The following is a 17,718-nucleotide window of genomic DNA, read 5'->3' on the forward strand; positions in this document are numbered from 1 at the left end:
AGTTTTATTGGGACACTGCCACACCCATTCATTTATAAATAGTCTATGGCTGTTTTCACGCTATGATGGCAGTGCTGAGTAGCTGCAACAGTGACTGTATGGCTTGCAAACTCTAAAATACGTGCTCTCTGTTTCTTACAGTAAAGGTTTACTGATACTGGGTATAGATGGATGAAAAGAACCATGGCCTTTGGAAACTGACAGATACAATACTATCAGCTAAACTACAAGCTGAGTTTCAATCTTGCCTTTACAGTGTAGTGACTTCAGACAAAATGCTTTTAGTTTTTTGAGCCTTAGGTTCCTCACCTATAAAATGGAACATCACCATCTATTTTGCAGGCTAAGTGAACGTATGTAAACAAATGCTCACAGTGCTTGGCACATGGTAGGCTCTCAATAAATGGAGGCCATCGTTACTATTACTTTTATTAACAAAACATTTTACTTTTTTTAAGTGTTTCACATTGCCTTTCACACCTCTGTATTTTCACATAGATTTCTAAGTTTTCATCTCCTACTGTGTTGAAGCCCAAACCACTACTTCTAAGTATTATCCTTCTCTGTACTGAATATCGTTCAAATTTTTATTGACTATGTTATCCCAGAATAAAACTTAATGCCAGAATAGAGCCTGAAATATCATTACAATTATATCCCAAAGGATGTGAACATATGGAAATAATTCAAAATATACAATTTTAGAATAGTCTAGTCTGCAAAACTCTCAGCTGCACTGCTATACTTCCTTTTTATTAGAACTTTGTGAAAAACTTGGCGAGTCACCCATTTGAATAAAGATGGAGACAGGGATAAGATGCAGACAGGGATCCGGAAACAAAAAATGTGTTTCTATCCCTTTAAATCAATATTTACTATATTTTTCCTAATTTATCTTTATAAACATACACCTTCCAGAATTAAGAAATGATAAGTCTAGTGAAGTACTGCACAGGAAATGAACTGAAAGATAATGTCCACCAGTTTTTGAGACTCATATCAAACAGTACACGTACAGATTAAACAGATCAAAGTTCTCCTTACTAAATGTCACTATCTGGGCACATTCAACAGTTTTGTCTACATTTTCGTGTATGTGTGTACTTCTTAAATAACTTACTCCTACTCTCATACATAAAAATGTGTAACATATGTGAGCACAATCTGTATCCCATGCTTCCAACTCTGAAGTCATTATTAATGCTAGCAATTAGCCCTGAATAAATTATACAACTAACGTACTGACCAATTTTGTGGTCACTGCCAGTGACAGATGAAAAATCTCATAAATAAATGCTCTTTCTTTAGCAGTAGAGCCAAATAGTCTCCTCAGGTTTCTACAGATGTAATTTATTTGCATAATTTTTTTCCTTTTTTTTTTAATAGCAAAAGAAACAATGCATTCTAAGTGCTTCCGTATGTGTGTCTGGTTAACATTTCCAGTTTCAATGTTTCCTGAGAGGAAGTAATTCAAAGTGTGTTATCTAAACAACTCTAATAGGTCTGATCCAGGAAACTATCAGGGTTTTACTTTTTACCGCTCATAATACCACTCAGAATTAATACCCCATGGTCAAGAAACATTTTGAAACACTGACGTAAAATTTTAAGCTTGTGGACGCGCACACATTCTCTCTGTCTGAAGGTTCTGGCAATAGGAAATCTGTTCTCTAGCAACAATTGTTCTAATAACAATTGTTCAAACATGTAAGAGGTTAAAATTCCAACTCATAAGATAAAATCAGGAATGATCTGATTGATATATAGGTTATATAGACAATATTTGATTAGTATTATGTTATGTCTTCCCAAATTAAATTTTCATTACTCTTTCTTTTGGGAAAATGACAGCAAATGGATGAAAATTGCATCAAGAGTTAAGATAAATGTTAATCCTAAATGGTGTTTATATATATATATTTTTTTTAACACAAAATAGGGCAAGAATGACAAGTACAATGGCAATGGTTGCATTTGTGATGCTATAGCAGAGGGCTTGCCAACTGGTAGTTTTTCAGAGGGCCCAAAACCTCAGATGACAAAAAAAGGACTGAGCTATCTTCAAAACATTGAAATAATTAACCTCACAATTGTATCCAATTTATCATTCTGAATGGATCTCGAAAATAAATGACATCTGACTCACCCTAAGGGAAACATATAATTAAAAAAAACTGGAAAATAAAAAGTGATTATATCTAGCCAGGAGCGGTGGCTCATGCCTGTAATCCCAGCACTTTGGGAGGCGGAGGCGGGCGGATCACGAGGTCAGGAGATCGAGACCATCCTGGCTAACATGGTGAAACCCTGTCTCTACTAAAAATACAAAAAATTAGCCGGGTGTGGCGGTGTGCGCCTGTTGTCCCAGCTGCTGGGGAGGCTGAGGCAGGAGAATGGCATGAACCCAGGAGGCGGAGCTTGCAGTGAGCCGAGATCGCGCCACTGTACTCCAGCCTGGGTGACAGAGCAAGACCCCATCTCAAAAAAAAAAAAAAAAAAAAAAAGTGGCTATATCTAAATACATTCAATTTTCATTTTAAATATTCCTTTTTACATCTGACAAAATTCAGGTTGCATAGGAATCAATAATTTCTGACCTCTCTGGAATATAGCCAAGAACAAGGCAGTGAGCTAACCAAAATGATGGGATGTTGTTGATGTTGGAGCTTATGTTGAAAGCCTGTGAGGTCCTTAACTTAGTGTACTGATTCCTAAGACTCCATTAAACGTGATTGCCAATTTACAGCCTTAGCAAAACAGAAGTGAAAAATTAAACTAAAAATAGGGACTGTTAAGAAAGGTATTCTGAAAAAGACACAAGAAGCAAATAAGACAGCAAACCTTTAAAGGTTTTAAACAAAAAAAGTTTTAAAAAATTTATATTATGAGACTGTAAAAATATAAACTTCTCAGGGCTTATGGTCTCTCTATATAAAGGCAAAAGTCATACTCATCTCAAGTGGGGCTGAGTGCTTTAATCAATTATAAAACAGGAGACAGTGATAAGTTTAAATTTTGTTCAAGTACTTTCTTTAAGATAGTAGAAAAGTGTATTATAAAATACTGAAAGGAAATTATAGTCATTTTGGACAGAATTTGGTTAACATTCACAGCTACTCCAGAAACTGGCTAGCTAGAACTACTCATGCCCTAAAGACTCCAGAGAGTAGGTAGAAAATGCTGGAGCAAATAATTCCTACCCATTTTGAAAAATCACAGGAAAAGATGGTCTCTCTGTCATTATTATAAACTTAAAACGCAAGATTCCTTTTCTGAATTCTTGAGATGGAAACTAAGAATTGTATTTTAAACGAGGAATGGTGGGTTACAACTGAACTACACTCGGAAAACAAAATAAAAAACCCTGAAGAATACTAAATGTTTCAGTACTACTAGCTTGTATTATTTTACAGGACAACCACAGGATGGCCCATGTATGCAGAGCAAAGTCTACTAATAAACTGTTTTTGTGTTTTCGAAGACAAAACATGACCAGGAGGATGGCAGAGCATAAATAATTATGACAAGAGTAGAATCACAAGCGGCTCTGTCTGTAGTTTGTTCTGCTAAAATGAATAAAGAAAGTAACATAGGCGGGGCGCAGTGGCTCACACCTGTAATCCCAGCACTTCGGGAGGCCGAGGCGGGCAAATCGCTTGAGATCGGGAGTTCGAGACCAGCCTGACCAACATGGAGAAACCCTGTGTCTACTAAAAATACAAAATTAGCCAGGCATGGTGGTGCATGCCTGTAATCCCAGCTACTTGGGAGGCTGAGGCAGGAGAATCGCTTGAACCCGAGAGGCAGAGGTTGCGGTGAGCTGAGATTGATCCATTGCACTCCAGCCCGGGCAACAAGAGTGAAACTCCGTCTCAAAAAAAAAAAAAAAAAAAAGAAGAAGGCACAGTCTAACTGGTCGGCAGAAGTAAAAGGTCTTCATTTTTTCAGCACTTTTTCAGACGGCAACTTTTAAAACGGCAACAAATATGTTAAAATAAAAGGCACATGGATTGCATCAAATCTATGACTTGGGAAAATATATTGGCTGCTTTTCAGTAACTTGGAAGCCTTAGGAGACATTCAGAGTTTGGCATCAAGTTGCATTAATCATATTAAACTTTAAAATCCGTGCTTGTTTACTCAGCAATGCATTTTAGTCATGTCGGTGTATCTTTAACACTGCTTCAAGCAACAATACAAGAACCCAACCTCTGGTCTTGCTGCTTTATTAATACTGGTTAGCACTCTAAAAATTCTGGGTTAAGACCTTATGGAGTTTGAAGGAGTTCATTCTGACATGTGATATTTAAATAATCAGAAACTACATTAATACTGATAGACTGAAAATTTCAAAATAAGTGTGAACAAATGTGAACATGAAAGAGCCAATCCTCTAAGATGGATCCTGAGTGGCTAACCGGGTCTAAATTTAAAATACAGCCAACCAACCATTTGCTGATTGGAGGTCACACATGTGCTCTGAGTTCCTGGAAAACCCATGCCTCCATTCAACTTTTGGACTTTCAGAGCTAATGCGAACCAACCAATTAGAACTCACCAGCCTCAGCCAATCAGGGCTCAGCAGCACCAACTAGTCAGAACTAATCGTGTTTCAATCCTTCATTTGCTATATGGACCTGATTGAGAACCTGAGTGGGCACTTTTGCTATAAAACCCGGGACCTTCCCTTTGTTCTCAGGAATTGCATCTTCATTTTACACTGAAGGCTATCTCTCCACAGTCTGCAAATTGTTCACTGGAAGAGTCTTTCCTTCAAATTCCTATTTCAGAGAACTTTTGTTCATATAAGTTGCAAGATTTTATTTTTTAAATACTGGCACCATACTTTACTATTAATAAGATATAAAAAGGTACATGTATAACATTCATAAAAGCTGCCAAATCCTGTGTGTCAGACCATAAATGTTTCAGAAATACAAATGACAGAAGGATTTTGGCTATATTGTACCATATGCCATAATGATTGAACATGTTTGTATTTTTTAAAAAGGAAAATGAATTAAACTATACAAGCTATTGTGTCAAAGTGAAAGTACATTCTGATCACAATCTTGGGCCTTATCTCAAATCCATAAATAGAGTGTGATGGAGCAGAGAGGTGACTGGATTGTATTAGGAGACCTGGTTTCTATGCTGGGCTTTGCTGCTGAGTCATTTTGTGGCTTCATATGAACCAATGAAGTCAGCTAACATAGCTGTTTCTCAGTTTTCATATTTGCTAAAAGAAGCAGGATTAGGCAACGTCTAAGGGCCTTTCCAGATCTAAAATGTAATGATTATAACAACTCAAAGTCTATAAACTTCCTAGTCCTGTTGGATAATTTATAGCATTTTATCATTTTACTCTTGGTCATGTTTCTTAGTATTGCAAGGCTCTAGTTTTTTCACTTAATTTCTCTGAAACTTATATGATGTTTTCTCCAATTAAAAAGAGGCACTTCTGGGTATATATACACAATGGAATACTATTCAGCTTTAAAAAGGAGGAAAATCGTGTTATCTGTGGCAACATGAATGAACCTGGAGGGTATTATGCTAAGCAAAATAAGCCAGGCATAGAAAGACAAATACCACATGGTCTCATTTATATATGGAAACTAAAAACATCAAACTCATGGATACAGAGAGAATGGTGGCTGTCAGAGGCTGGAGAGTGGGGAGAATGGGAAGATGCTGGTCAAAGGGTACACGTTCCAGGTAGAATGGGGGGAAACTGAGAGGTGATGGAAATGTTAATTAGCTTGATTCAATCATTCCACATTGTATACCTGTACTACAGCATCACTTTATCAATATCCAAAGAAAAGGTACCGCTGAAATCCTTCTCCCCACATTACAGTGGCTCTGCTGCTAGGCACTGACACCCCAGCCCACAGCAGGTGCCAAAGCAGTAATCAGAAGCTGATAGGCTGATGACAAGGCTGTCACCTCAGCTCCTGGGCAGACCACGCACGCAGTAGGGAAGTGGTTCTGAAGAGGTCTAGGCAGGCAGAGGCAGCGACTGTATGCCACATCTGAATGAAACTTCACATTCCCGAGTGGGTAACTTTCTCTAATGAAGCCAATGTAAACTTGTTACTTTGCCTCTGAGGAAATCTATGCTGGAACAGCTGAAAGTATGGATCTCACTAACTAGTTGGAGCTAAAATAGTAACATTATAGCATCCAGATTAGGGTATTTGGGCTCTGAGACTTGAGAGTAGTAATTTTAATGTAGAAAGCTTCTGGATTACATCAGTGAAGATAGGATGCCTCAGACCCAATGCCAAATCGAAGGCCACCTTTTTCCCCTCTCTCTCCACAACTGTCATAGTAAAGATAGAGCTTAAATTAAAACTTAATTTGTTAGTCATTATTTTGATGGCAGGAAATGCAGACGGGGAAAATTTTCTCATCTTTATTGGGCTGAGTTTGAAAGGCTGGAAGACATTTAAAATAATTCGTAGTTATTAGTGTAGTAAGGTCTCCAAAAAAGTATTTGAAGTGAAGGGGTATTTCGAAACCACAACAAAGAACAGCTACTATGTACTGAGTTCTTAATAGTAAGTCACTGGGTAGGAAGTATTACATAAAGAGTAAGCAGGCCAGGCATGGTGGCTCATGCCTGTAATCTTGGTATTTTGGGAGGCTGAGGCGGGAAGACTGTTTGAGGCCAGGAATTCAAGACCAGCCTGGGCAACACTGTGAGATGCTCATCTCTACAGAAAAAATTTAAAAATCAGCCAAGAGTGGTGGTGCATGCCTGTAGTCCTAGCTATTCAGGAGGCTGAAGCAGGAGGATCACTTGCGCCCAGGAGTTCAAGGCTGCAATGAGCTATGATAGTGCCACTGCACTCCAGCCTGGGTGACAAAGCATGTTTCTTAAAAAAAAAGAAAGAGGGAGAGAGAGAGAAATAAGAGAGAGGTGAGAAAAAGAAACAGAGAAAGAGGGAGGGAGGGGAGGGGAGGGAGAGGAGGGATAAGAGAAAAGAGGCCAGGCTCAGTGGCTCACCCCTGTAATCCCAGCACTTTGGGAGGCCGAGGAGGGTGGATCACTTGAGGTCAGGAGTTCGAGACCAGCCTGGCCAACATGGCGAAACCCCATCTCTACTAAAAATACAAAAATTAGCCAGGCATGGTGGTGCGTGCCTATAGTCCAAGCTACTTGGGAGGCTGAGGCAGGAGAATCGCTTGGACCTGGGAGATGGGGGTTGCAGTGAGCTGAGATCACACCATTGCACTCCAGCCTGGGTGACAGAGCGAGACTCTGTCTCAAAAAAAAATAAAATAACATAAAATAAAAAATAAAAGAAAAAGAAAGAGTAAGTGAAATAATCTTAATCTGTGGTGGGAATTTTTTTAAATGTGAAACTTAATTTTTTATGATTCTATGTTCTGAACCAAGGATTTGCAAACCTTATCTTACAGGTCAAGATGGTAATAATTTTAGGCTCTATGGGCTATATAGTTTCTGCTACAACTACTTAATTGTGCTGTTGGCATGAAAGCAGCCATAGATAATACATAAACACATAGACATGGCTTTGTTCCAATAAAACTTTATTTACAAAAACAGGCAGCTTGCCCGCCTCCTTACTAGACACTTGCAAAGTACTTGAGTGTATTACTTTACTTAATTCTGATGACAAATCTATGAGGTGGGTAGTATCACCTCCATTTTGTAGGTAAAGACACTGTGGGCTCAGGTCTTGTGACCCGCCCATGGTCAGAGTCAATGCCTGGGGCAGGGTTCTGAACTCACCCCTGAGTTCAGAGCCTGAGCCACTCTACAGTCCAACTCACTCTGTAGATCGTGGTGGCCTGCTTGAAGAAAAATATATGGCTTGAAAATTGTTAGTGCAGCTGTTTTTATTTTTAAAAGGAGGGGTATGGGCCTTCAGTTGGAATGGCCAACTCAGAAAGAGGACATCTTCTGACTTTGGAAGCAAACATGAGAAGAAACATGGTTGATGAAAAAACTAAGAGAGATAATTAAGAGAGAAAAAGCCTATTACAGTTAAAAAAAAACCCCACAAATATGCAGGAAAACAAGTAAACGAAAACAACATTCTTACCCTGAAAACTAAAAACCAGATGGATAAAGAAAAAAAAAGTGAAAGAGACAGGTGACTGCTATTCCCAAAACATGGAATTCCTTTAGCTTTGCAGGGATTAGAAGAGATATATGCAAATCATCAGTGAGAGGTAACCTGCCCACATATCCTTTTATTTTCTGTACTCTCTCATCTCCCACTTTCTGTTTCTACCACCCCAGCTGCTCACTCAAATGGACATACTTAGATCAGAAAATAAAGCTACTCCTGTCATTACCGATCTTACTGCCTAAAGTTAAATTTCAAGAGTTTTACACTCTACCACCACCTCCTATTTTGCATCTCATTTTCTCAAACATATCTATCTCATAAGTCCAGTTCTCATTGGGGCTACACTTCTATTCACGCTTGGTTAGCCAGTAGGGATTCTTCTTTTTTGTTGTTGTTTTTTGAGATGGAGTCTCATTCTGTCACCCAGGCTGGAGTACAGTGGCGCGATCTTGGCTCACTGGAACCTCTGCCTCCCAAGTTCAAGTAATTCTCCTGCCTCAGCCTCCCAAGTAGCTGGGATTACAGGCATGCACCCCCATGCCCAACTAATTTTTATATTTTTAGTACAGACGGGGTTTCGCCACATTGGCCAGGCAGGTCTCGAACTCCTGACCTCAAGTGATCCACCCGCTTTGGCCTCCCAAAGTGCTGGGATTACATGCATGAGCCACTGCACCCAGCCCCCAGTGAGGATTCCATGGCTCAGTGTGACCTGTCACTCACTCTAGGGCACATTCCATCAACACCTTTGCTGATCTCTGCTATACTCACTGGGAGAACCTCAACTCTCATTAAACTCAGCTCTCTTGGTCTACTCTATACCTGCATCGAGGGAGCCGAAAATGGCTGGAAGAAAGGGTAGTGCTGAGTAATCTCACTTGAAACTTACCTTGACTAAACTCTAGGACCACCCTACTGTACTGTCCTGGTTAACTCACTTTCCAGTCTCAGAGCTGATTATTATTTGCTTCCTATCAAGGCCACTCATGACCTTCACATTTTGCTAAATTTCATGGTTAGTTCTCAGTCCTCATCTAATTCAATTACTAAGTAGCATTTGACACAGTTGCTCATTCCTTCTTGAATCTTGGCTTCTGGGACACCATATGCTCCTGGCTGTCCTTCTACCTCACTGCTATCCTATCCAGTCTTCTCTTCTAGACCCCTAAATGCTGGGGTACTCCAGGGCTCAGTCCTCAGAGCTCTTCTCCTTTTAATCTTGTCTCTAGGTTAATGCCTCTCAACCTTGGCACTACTGACATTTTGGGTTGGACAATCCTTTGTTATGGGAGCCTGTCCTGTGCATCACAGAATGTTTAGCAGCAACCCCCCCCACCCACTAAATGACAGTAACATCCTCCACCCCACAGTCATGACAATCAAAACTGTGTACAGACACTGCCAGTGTCCCCTGAGGGACAAAGTCACTCCTGGTTGAGAATCACTGGTACAGGTAAACTCAACTAGACCCATGGCTTCAAACGTCTTCCAGAAGATGATGAGCCCCAACTAGATACTCTGAGCCTAGACTATTCTCTAAGCTCCCAACCTGTAGATCCAACTGATTCTTGATATCTCTACTTGGAGGTAGTACTGATACTTGTTTATGTATTTCTTGTCTACCTCCCCTACTATACTGTAATCTCCATGCAGTGAGGGACTTGCATATTTACTATTTACCCCCAGTGCCTGCAGTAGTGCTGGGCATATAGTAAGTGCTCAAAATATATTTGCTGGTTAAAGAATTAAACACTTAATGCATATGAATTCATTTCACGCAGTTAATCGATGGGGCCAATCAGGCAGATAGTTTTAAACACATCAAGGTATCTTTTAAAGACAAATTTTAGTTCCAAATTAAAAAGAATGTTTCATTTTTCAACAAATGTATAAATAGTACTAGTACTAGCCATTAAATTTAAAATTTGAAGTTAAAATTTTGCTACAGTTTGTGAAGAAACCCAGAACTAGAGTTCCCCTTTTTCTAATACTTTTGCTTTATTTTACATTCTTATTAAGATTAATTTCAGTTTGGACTTGTAAATAAATATATCAGGATACATATGTATATTTATTTCTAATAATAATGTCTTGATTATCATGATGCCAGGTAACTATCAATTTTTAACTGCAAGTGCTTTTCTCAGTGGTTTATCCTTTTGGTTTAATTTACGCTGTATCTGAAGTAGAAGAGAGAGGGTGAAATCTTCTAAGAAGGTTTGAAATCTTTCTTTTAAAAACTGCTTCTTGGATAATAGCTACATTTATGAGTAAAGAGTATTGTTTTTAATTTTTTCCCACCTTCTCCATGAGAATAACCAAAATCCCATTTCTTTAACTCCTCCCCTGCTAGTTCTTAGTTCTCACACAGACACAATAATCCAGACTTTTTGTTTTCTTTTTAAGATGAAGTCTCACTCTGTCGCTAAGGCTGGAGTGCAATGGCGTGATCTCGGCTCACCGCAACCTCTGCCTCCTGGGTTCAAGCAATTCTCCTGTCTCAGCCCCACCGAGTAGCTGGGATTAGAGGTGTGTGCCACCAGCCCAACTAATTTTTGTATTTTTAGTAGAGATGGGGTTTCACCAAGTTGGTCAGGCTGGTCTTGAACTCCTGACCTCAGGTGATCCACCTGCCTCAGCCTCCCAAAGTGCTGGGATTACAGGTGTGAGCCACTGTGCCCTGGCTTAATCCAGTCTATTTTTAATTGAAGAAGACCATGACTTCCAGCCTTTATTACTGGTCCAGGTGGTATCCAGACAAACTTTTCTATGACTATCCTTAGTTTATTTATTTACTTGTGTGTTTATCACTAAGCACAAAACCTTTTGTGTATTTCTTTATGTAAATTTCCTGAGGTTCCTATAACAATCCTTCTTTGAACAGAATTGAATAATGTTTTAATGATTCATGCAAGCTAGAGGTGATGGCACCTTAAAACTCCATAAGTAACAGACTAGAAATATTAAATATTTATGTTTGCACAGCACAGAACTCAACCCAAATCCAATTAGTTTTATGGATGCTATAAGCTCATACTTCACACACTTAACTGAGCCTTTGAACTCTTAAATGATATTCTCTATTAAACACATTTTAATGAATACATTCAGTCATGGTATTCTATATTAAAAAAAGAACTCTAAAATGTATAAATTTAAGTGTTATCCTCTCAGTCATTCTGACTTACTACAAATTCACCAAGAAAAGCTGCTAGAGGCATTTAAAAAAATAGTATACATGAGCAATATGTGGCAAAAGATGGAATGTTACATTTTAATACTAGAGAAAATCTTTAAAAATCACTTAAAAATTTACATTTGATTTCTTTATTAGCAAATGAAATATTTTTCTAGAAAGGAGTTTAAAACTACTAACTTTCTAAAAAAAACTTATTTTTTTTTCATTTAGAGAATTCTAAATATAAGTTTTAGGGAGAGATTTAAGTCATATCAAAACACTAATGGAATAGGATTTAACTTCTGACCAATGAGTCTAGGTATGTTTAAAAATGAACATGTTTGCACAAGTTTTCACTGTAAACAAATGCAAGCTGTCTTGACTGCTCATGTATTAGGGCCACTGAAAAAGTTAAAAACGATAAATATTTTTGTATGTAAGCATAATTTACTTAGTAAAGATTTTACAAAATATAAAATATCACTCATCTTAATAATAAAACTAAAGAGCGTAGACCAAAGCAGCTGTATTTTGGAACTGGAAGAAGAAATGACTTAGCTTAGACAATGAAATGGGCAGAACCGTTTCTCCAATAAGGGGCTGTCCTAGGCATCTCCTCCCTTTCCTGAAGAGTGTGGGTGGAATGACTCATCCACAAAGACACTGCTGCATTCTTGGGCCAAGACACCATGTAGTCTGTTTTTCACATAGAGTGGATTTCTAAGAAACAGGAATCTTGACCCCCTAAATCTTGAAATGTTTGGAAAATGTGATTTAGGTGGACTTTGGGCTGAAATGACATTAAAGAGAAAACCCCTTCAATGTGAACACTTTCTAAAGTGTTTTAGTGTAATTATGAGTATTGCTGGAGAAAATGTGGAAGATTTGCAGGCAATACGATGGGCCTGGTTGGTGGCTTGCTTCTCTGGTCAGTCCCTCTTCAACAGCAAGTCTAGTCAAAGGACCTCGGTCAACATCTGGACAAGGACTGCACTGTCCCTTTAAGAATGCAGAACAAGGCCAGACACGGTGGCTCACACCTGTAATCCCAGCACTTTGGGAGGCCAAGGTGGGCAGATCACGAGGTCAGGAGCTTGAGACCATCCTGGCTAACACGGTGAAACCCCATCTCTACTAAAAATACAAAAAAAATAGCTGGGCGTGGCGGTGTGTGCCTATAGCCCCAGCTGCTGGGGAGACTGAAGCAGGAGAATGGCATGAACCAGGGAGGCGAAGCTTGCAGTGAGCCGAGATCGCGCCACTGTACTCCAGCCTGGGTGACAGAGCAAGACTCAGTCTCAAAAAAAAAAAAAAAAAAAAAAAAAAAAGAATGCAGAACAAATAGAGCACAACAAACACTATATAGCTTTTCTCTGGGCAATATCAGTTTTCTCTATATATAGTGAAATAGATAGTCCACAAAGAATGGAATGAATACATGCTGACTTCAAGAAATGCTTAGAAACCTATTCTATCTTTGTATTTTTCCTCTCTTTCTTTCTTTTTAAATAAGTGTTTGGTATTATTTAGTTTCATCATATCCCTTTTGCTCCCAGAAGTGGAGATCTGGCTAAACAACTGTTACATATTAGAAAATGAAGTCCAAATTTTAAAAAATATCACTTATATGCCTCAACAGCTACAGTTTTGAACTCAGATATCAGTTTTAAATTCTAACAAAAGATAATGCTAATAAATACAGAAGCAGTCAGGGAGTCAGGTCAGCTACAATATATGTGGTTTTGGCTACTGCCACTAACTATTAGAAGATAAAACCCTCCTAGGAGACACAGATGAACACTTACTGTGTACATCCAGACTTGAAAGTTAAATTATCTTTAGTGAGTATAAATATTTGGTGCTTCAAGAGCTACTACCTTCACGTTGAATGTGATATCCTCCATGACGTACACGCGTTCAGGAAATGCCTTAGCCACCTCCTCCACACTGTTGAAATATTGCACTGGCTCCTTTATATCTCGGTCTTGTTCCAGCAGCTTGAATTGCCCTAAAACACAGGATAAACAGAAGAGATCTAAGATGTTTATGCTGGACTGCTGTTACCATGGCAACAACATCCTCTCTCTTTACCCCAGCCCTTTTTTTGTCAAAGATTCCTGTTCATCATTAATCTTTTTAAAAAGGCATTATGGGAGGTTCCATTAAACTAGAAGATAGATAGATTTTAAAATCAGCTTAAAAATGAAAATAAACTGCATTCTTTTTGTTTACATTGAGAGTTTATTCCCAGATGTCCAAAATCAAACTGAATGAATGCTTACTTGCTGTTTGATCTCAAAGTGAAAACTCACTTTGCTATAAATGGTTGTTTTTAACAGTAAGTTAAACATTGAAGTTACCTTGCCCATCAGTTGTTGTACGAACCACACATTTACATTCTAGAACCGAGTCTTAGAAGCCTGGGAGAGCTAACTTTTAAAAATTAGTATTAAATTTTTTTTTTTTGCAAATAGAACAAAATGATATAATGGATTCCTGGCTTTCACATAACTCATATTCCTGGTTAGAACAATATGCAGGTAATGTCTAGGGCTCATGAGCTGCTGTAATGTGTGATGCTGCTGAGGCAGAAGCATGGAGCAGCAGCAGACAGCTGTCTGGTGAGCTTCCTCTCAACCACTGAGCCTGCCGGCCACTCAGCCTCCAGAGCTCCATGTGGCTCCTTTCTTTCCTTTTACTGCTATATATGAAATTCATGCGAGTAGGCCATATCATGGTCTCCACAATTTACAGGATTTATGAAGAACTTTGAACATATTCCTAAAATATCAAGGATCTATCATGTTGTTGTTTACATTTTCAGTATCTGTGACCCTGCTACAACATTTGAGAAGAACTGTTTTCAGTTTGGAATAAAAGACCATATGCAATCATATCAGGGATACAGTGTTTCTTAGTAGTTATTTTCTGAATCCTGGCTATAATATAATACTCCAGAAACTTAAAAGGAATTAAAAGCTATCATGGGAAAATCTCTCAGGCAGAAATAGGAAAACTTTCATTCATATTCTCAACACAATTTTTTAGCATCTACTAGGTGGAGACATTATTCTAGATGCTGGAGATCCATCAATTAATGGAATTAACACAAATCTCTGTTCTTCCAAAGCTTACATTCCAGCAGGAGATGGATACTATAATACATGAGTAAGAGTATACCATGGTAGAAGGTGAGAAATGCTATTAAATTTAGGGCAGGGTGTGGGGGATGGAGAGTGCAGGGAGACCAATCAGTATTGCTGAGATGGTGACCTTTGGTGTAGGTGAGGGAGGGTCGTGCTTGGTAGTTGCAGTTAGAGGTCTCGGAATTCTAAGACTAGGCAACAGTCTGCCCAAAGACTCTCAGGTGGGTGGGCTGCCTGCCTGGCATGCTGCCACTATGGCTGGAGTGGGATAAGGGAAGAGGGGAAAGAAAGTTAGAGCAGTAGCAGGTGGTCAGACTGTATATGCCTTTTAAGGAGTTGCACTCTTCACCTGAGTGGAATGGGGATTTGAGCGGAGAGCTGGTGATCTAACCAATGCTACAGAAGGATCCCTCTAGCTGGCATGTTGAGAAGACCATAAAGGTGCAAGGCACAGAGGCAAGTGACACCAGGTAGAAGGCTCCTACAATAATTCAGGTATGACATGGCAGGGGCTGGGAAGTGGTTAAAGTGTGAGGACCCTGGCCTGAACAACTCTGAACAGAGCTGACATTGACTGAGACAGGACAGCTTTGGAGGGTGAAGGGAGGATCAGGAGTTCAGTCTGGACAGGTAAGTCTGAGATGTCTATTGGACACGCAAACAGAGATGTTCAAAAAGTTCTTAGACACCGAAGTGTGGAGGTCAGGAGAGAAGTCTGGCTGGAAAGAATAAATCTGGCAGTCATCGGCTAACAGATGTTATTTGAAGCCATGACATTTTGATGATGATGACCATGGGCCTGAGTGTGAACAGAGAAGAGGTCTAAGGTTTGAGTCCTGGGAGACTGAGAAGGACCGGCCAGGGGAGTGAGAGGAAAACCAAGAGGGATGCATCCAAGAAGCCAGGTGATCTGATTCCTCTCATGAATGGTGAGTGGGTGTCAAATGCTGCTTACAGGACAGTGAAATGAGGGCTGAAAACTGTAGGATTCAGCAACTTGTATTTAATTGAGGACTTCAACAAGGGCAGCAGAAGAGCTGGGCTAAAAGCTTGGCAGAACTGGATTGAAGGCAGCCTGGGAAGAGAGAGAAACCAGAAATAATAAGAATGGGCACCAGATATTTTGGGAGTTCTGCTATAAAATAGAGAAGAGAGATGGAACAGAGGCTACTGAGAGGAAGCAGAAGTGAGATGTAGGAAATGTTTTTATTTTCCTTAGTATGATGGGAGAAGAAACAAGCATGCTTGCATGCTGATGGGAATGACCAGCAGAGGGGAACAAGGTGATGACAGGAGAAATGATTGGAACCCAATTGTTGAGCAGGCAGAGAACGTGCATCTGATGTTGAAATGGAGGAGCTGCCTTCAGACAGGAGCACAGGCCATTCATCTCCAGCCCCAAGAGATGCAGCAGTGGAAGCTGTTGGAAGCTTCCAATTTTTCCAGCCAAAGTTGGAAGGAAGGCATTGGTTGAGAATAAGGTTGAGAGAGGAGTTGTTAGAGGGTTAAGGAAAGAGAAGGTTGCAATGTAATATGATTGCTGGGCAGCATTTTTTAAGTTCTTACTTGAGGTTCATGGTCATTAATTAAAAGTAAAACCACAGAGTACAGTTGTGTTTTTGTCCAGCCAAGGTCAGATGCACAGAGGCTGGCATAAAGTAGCCAGAGATTCAGATTCAGCCAGAGCCGAGACTACCAAGTGAATATGAGAAGTGAGAGGGGCAAAGGAGTCAGGATGTCACCGGGAGCAATTATGCCACCTGAACATGGACACTGAGCTGGATAAAATGGGCACAGGATCCTGGGTGGGAGGGAAGTGGGTCCGGGAAAAAAGTAGTGGGATCAATGGATCATGGATTTTGATGGAATTGAGTTTTGAACCCTAGAGGGAGTGAGCTCAAAAGCCATGCAAAGGAGAGAAGTCAGTGCATGCAGTTGAAAAAATGGAAGGATGGAGTTGTTGGTTATGATGTGGTCTAAGGAGGGACCATGTCTGCTAAAGGTTGAGATGGCAAACAGCTAAATGACTGAGAAGCCCAGGGGTATTAAAAGGATCATATTTCCAAGGAAAATCCTCCTTGACAAGAAGAGGAGTATATCTGGAGAGAATAACAGCAAGCCAGGAACTAAAATTATGTCACAATGAGGACAGAATCCTAGGCTTGGTAGGTAACTGACAACGATGGGGTAGTGGGTGATACAGTCTGATGAACAAGAGGTTTAAAGCCTGGTGGACAAGCGGTTTAAAGCAAAGAGTTTTTAGGGAATTGCGAAGTGGAATGGTAAAGGTGATGAGGAAGAATAAAGAGACCACTTATACTCCTCTACTTTGGGGCAAAAAATAGAGCTGCCACCTGAAAGGGCTTCTCTCAGGGAATATCCAAGTTTGGGCTTAACAAGATAAAAGTAATTTCAAAGAAGGCTTTAAGGATATAGAGGTTTTGCTGGTGAGGGACCATGAGGGAGGAGTTTTCAGGAGTTAAGAGGTAGGTGATAAGGACAATACAGAGGATGAACCTAGACATGAAAGAACAGCTCATATACCACATAGAAATATGTAGGGGTATGAATAATACATTTGAATATACAGTATGAATATGTTACAGTACATACTTTTTGACAAAAAAAGTTTTTTTTTTTTTTAAATAAGGCAATTTCAAAATAACACTTATTTAAACAAATTCTATCACAAGTTAAACTTTTCATTTGTCTCTATTCCTACCTGGTCCATGCACAAATTCTTAACAATTATGGTGTTCTACAGTTTTATACCGTGCCCTTGCCCACTGAGCTGAGCAATTCTCCATGCAATGACACCCATGTCTGCATACCATTTCATAATGGATTTAACTGTTTTTCCATTCTTACATGATTAGTCTAAGTTAGACAGATGCCTAATTTAAATGCAGACTCTGCCACTTTCAAGTTTTGTGGTGCTGGCAAGTTACAAATCCACTTGAGTCTTGTTTCCTCACCTGTAAAATGGGGACACTTCAAGGGCCGCCATGAGGATTAAATGATATGACGCATCCAAAGTATTCAGCACAAGTGACCATTCAACAACTCCTAGCTTCTATTCCTCTTCTCAAGATGCATACAGATTGTCATTTCTTGGGTCACTTTTTGTTGTTGTTTTTTTTTTTTTGAGACGGAGTCTCGCTCTGTCTCCCAGGCTGGAGTGCAATGCTGCGATCTCAGCTCACTGCAACCTCCGCCTCCTAGGTTCAAGCCATTCTCCTGCCTCAGCCTCCTGAGTAGCTGGGATTACAGGCATGCACCACCATGCCTG

General features: G+C 39.7%; 1 protein-coding gene across 6 annotated transcripts in view; it reads right to left on the bottom strand.

Annotated features, from left to right (window-relative positions):
* The window catches only part of GAREM1 (GRB2 associated regulator of MAPK1 subtype 1), a 207,361-nt gene that overhangs the window by 33,511 nt on the left and 156,132 nt on the right, over nucleotides 1–17,718 (bottom strand). For all 6 annotated transcript variants that reach the window (NM_022751.3, NM_001242409.2, XM_024451234.2 and 3 more), the window contains one exon: nucleotides 13,161–13,291. In NM_022751.3, the coding sequence (NP_073588.1) occupies nucleotides 13,161–13,291 (131 nt within the window). The remainder of the gene's footprint in view (nucleotides 1–13,160; nucleotides 13,292–17,718) is intronic.

Source organism: Homo sapiens, chromosome 18, assembly GCF_000001405.40.
Source record: "Homo sapiens chromosome 18, GRCh38.p14 Primary Assembly".
In the NCBI taxonomy this organism is placed as follows: Eukaryota; Metazoa; Chordata; class Mammalia; order Primates; family Hominidae; genus Homo; species Homo sapiens.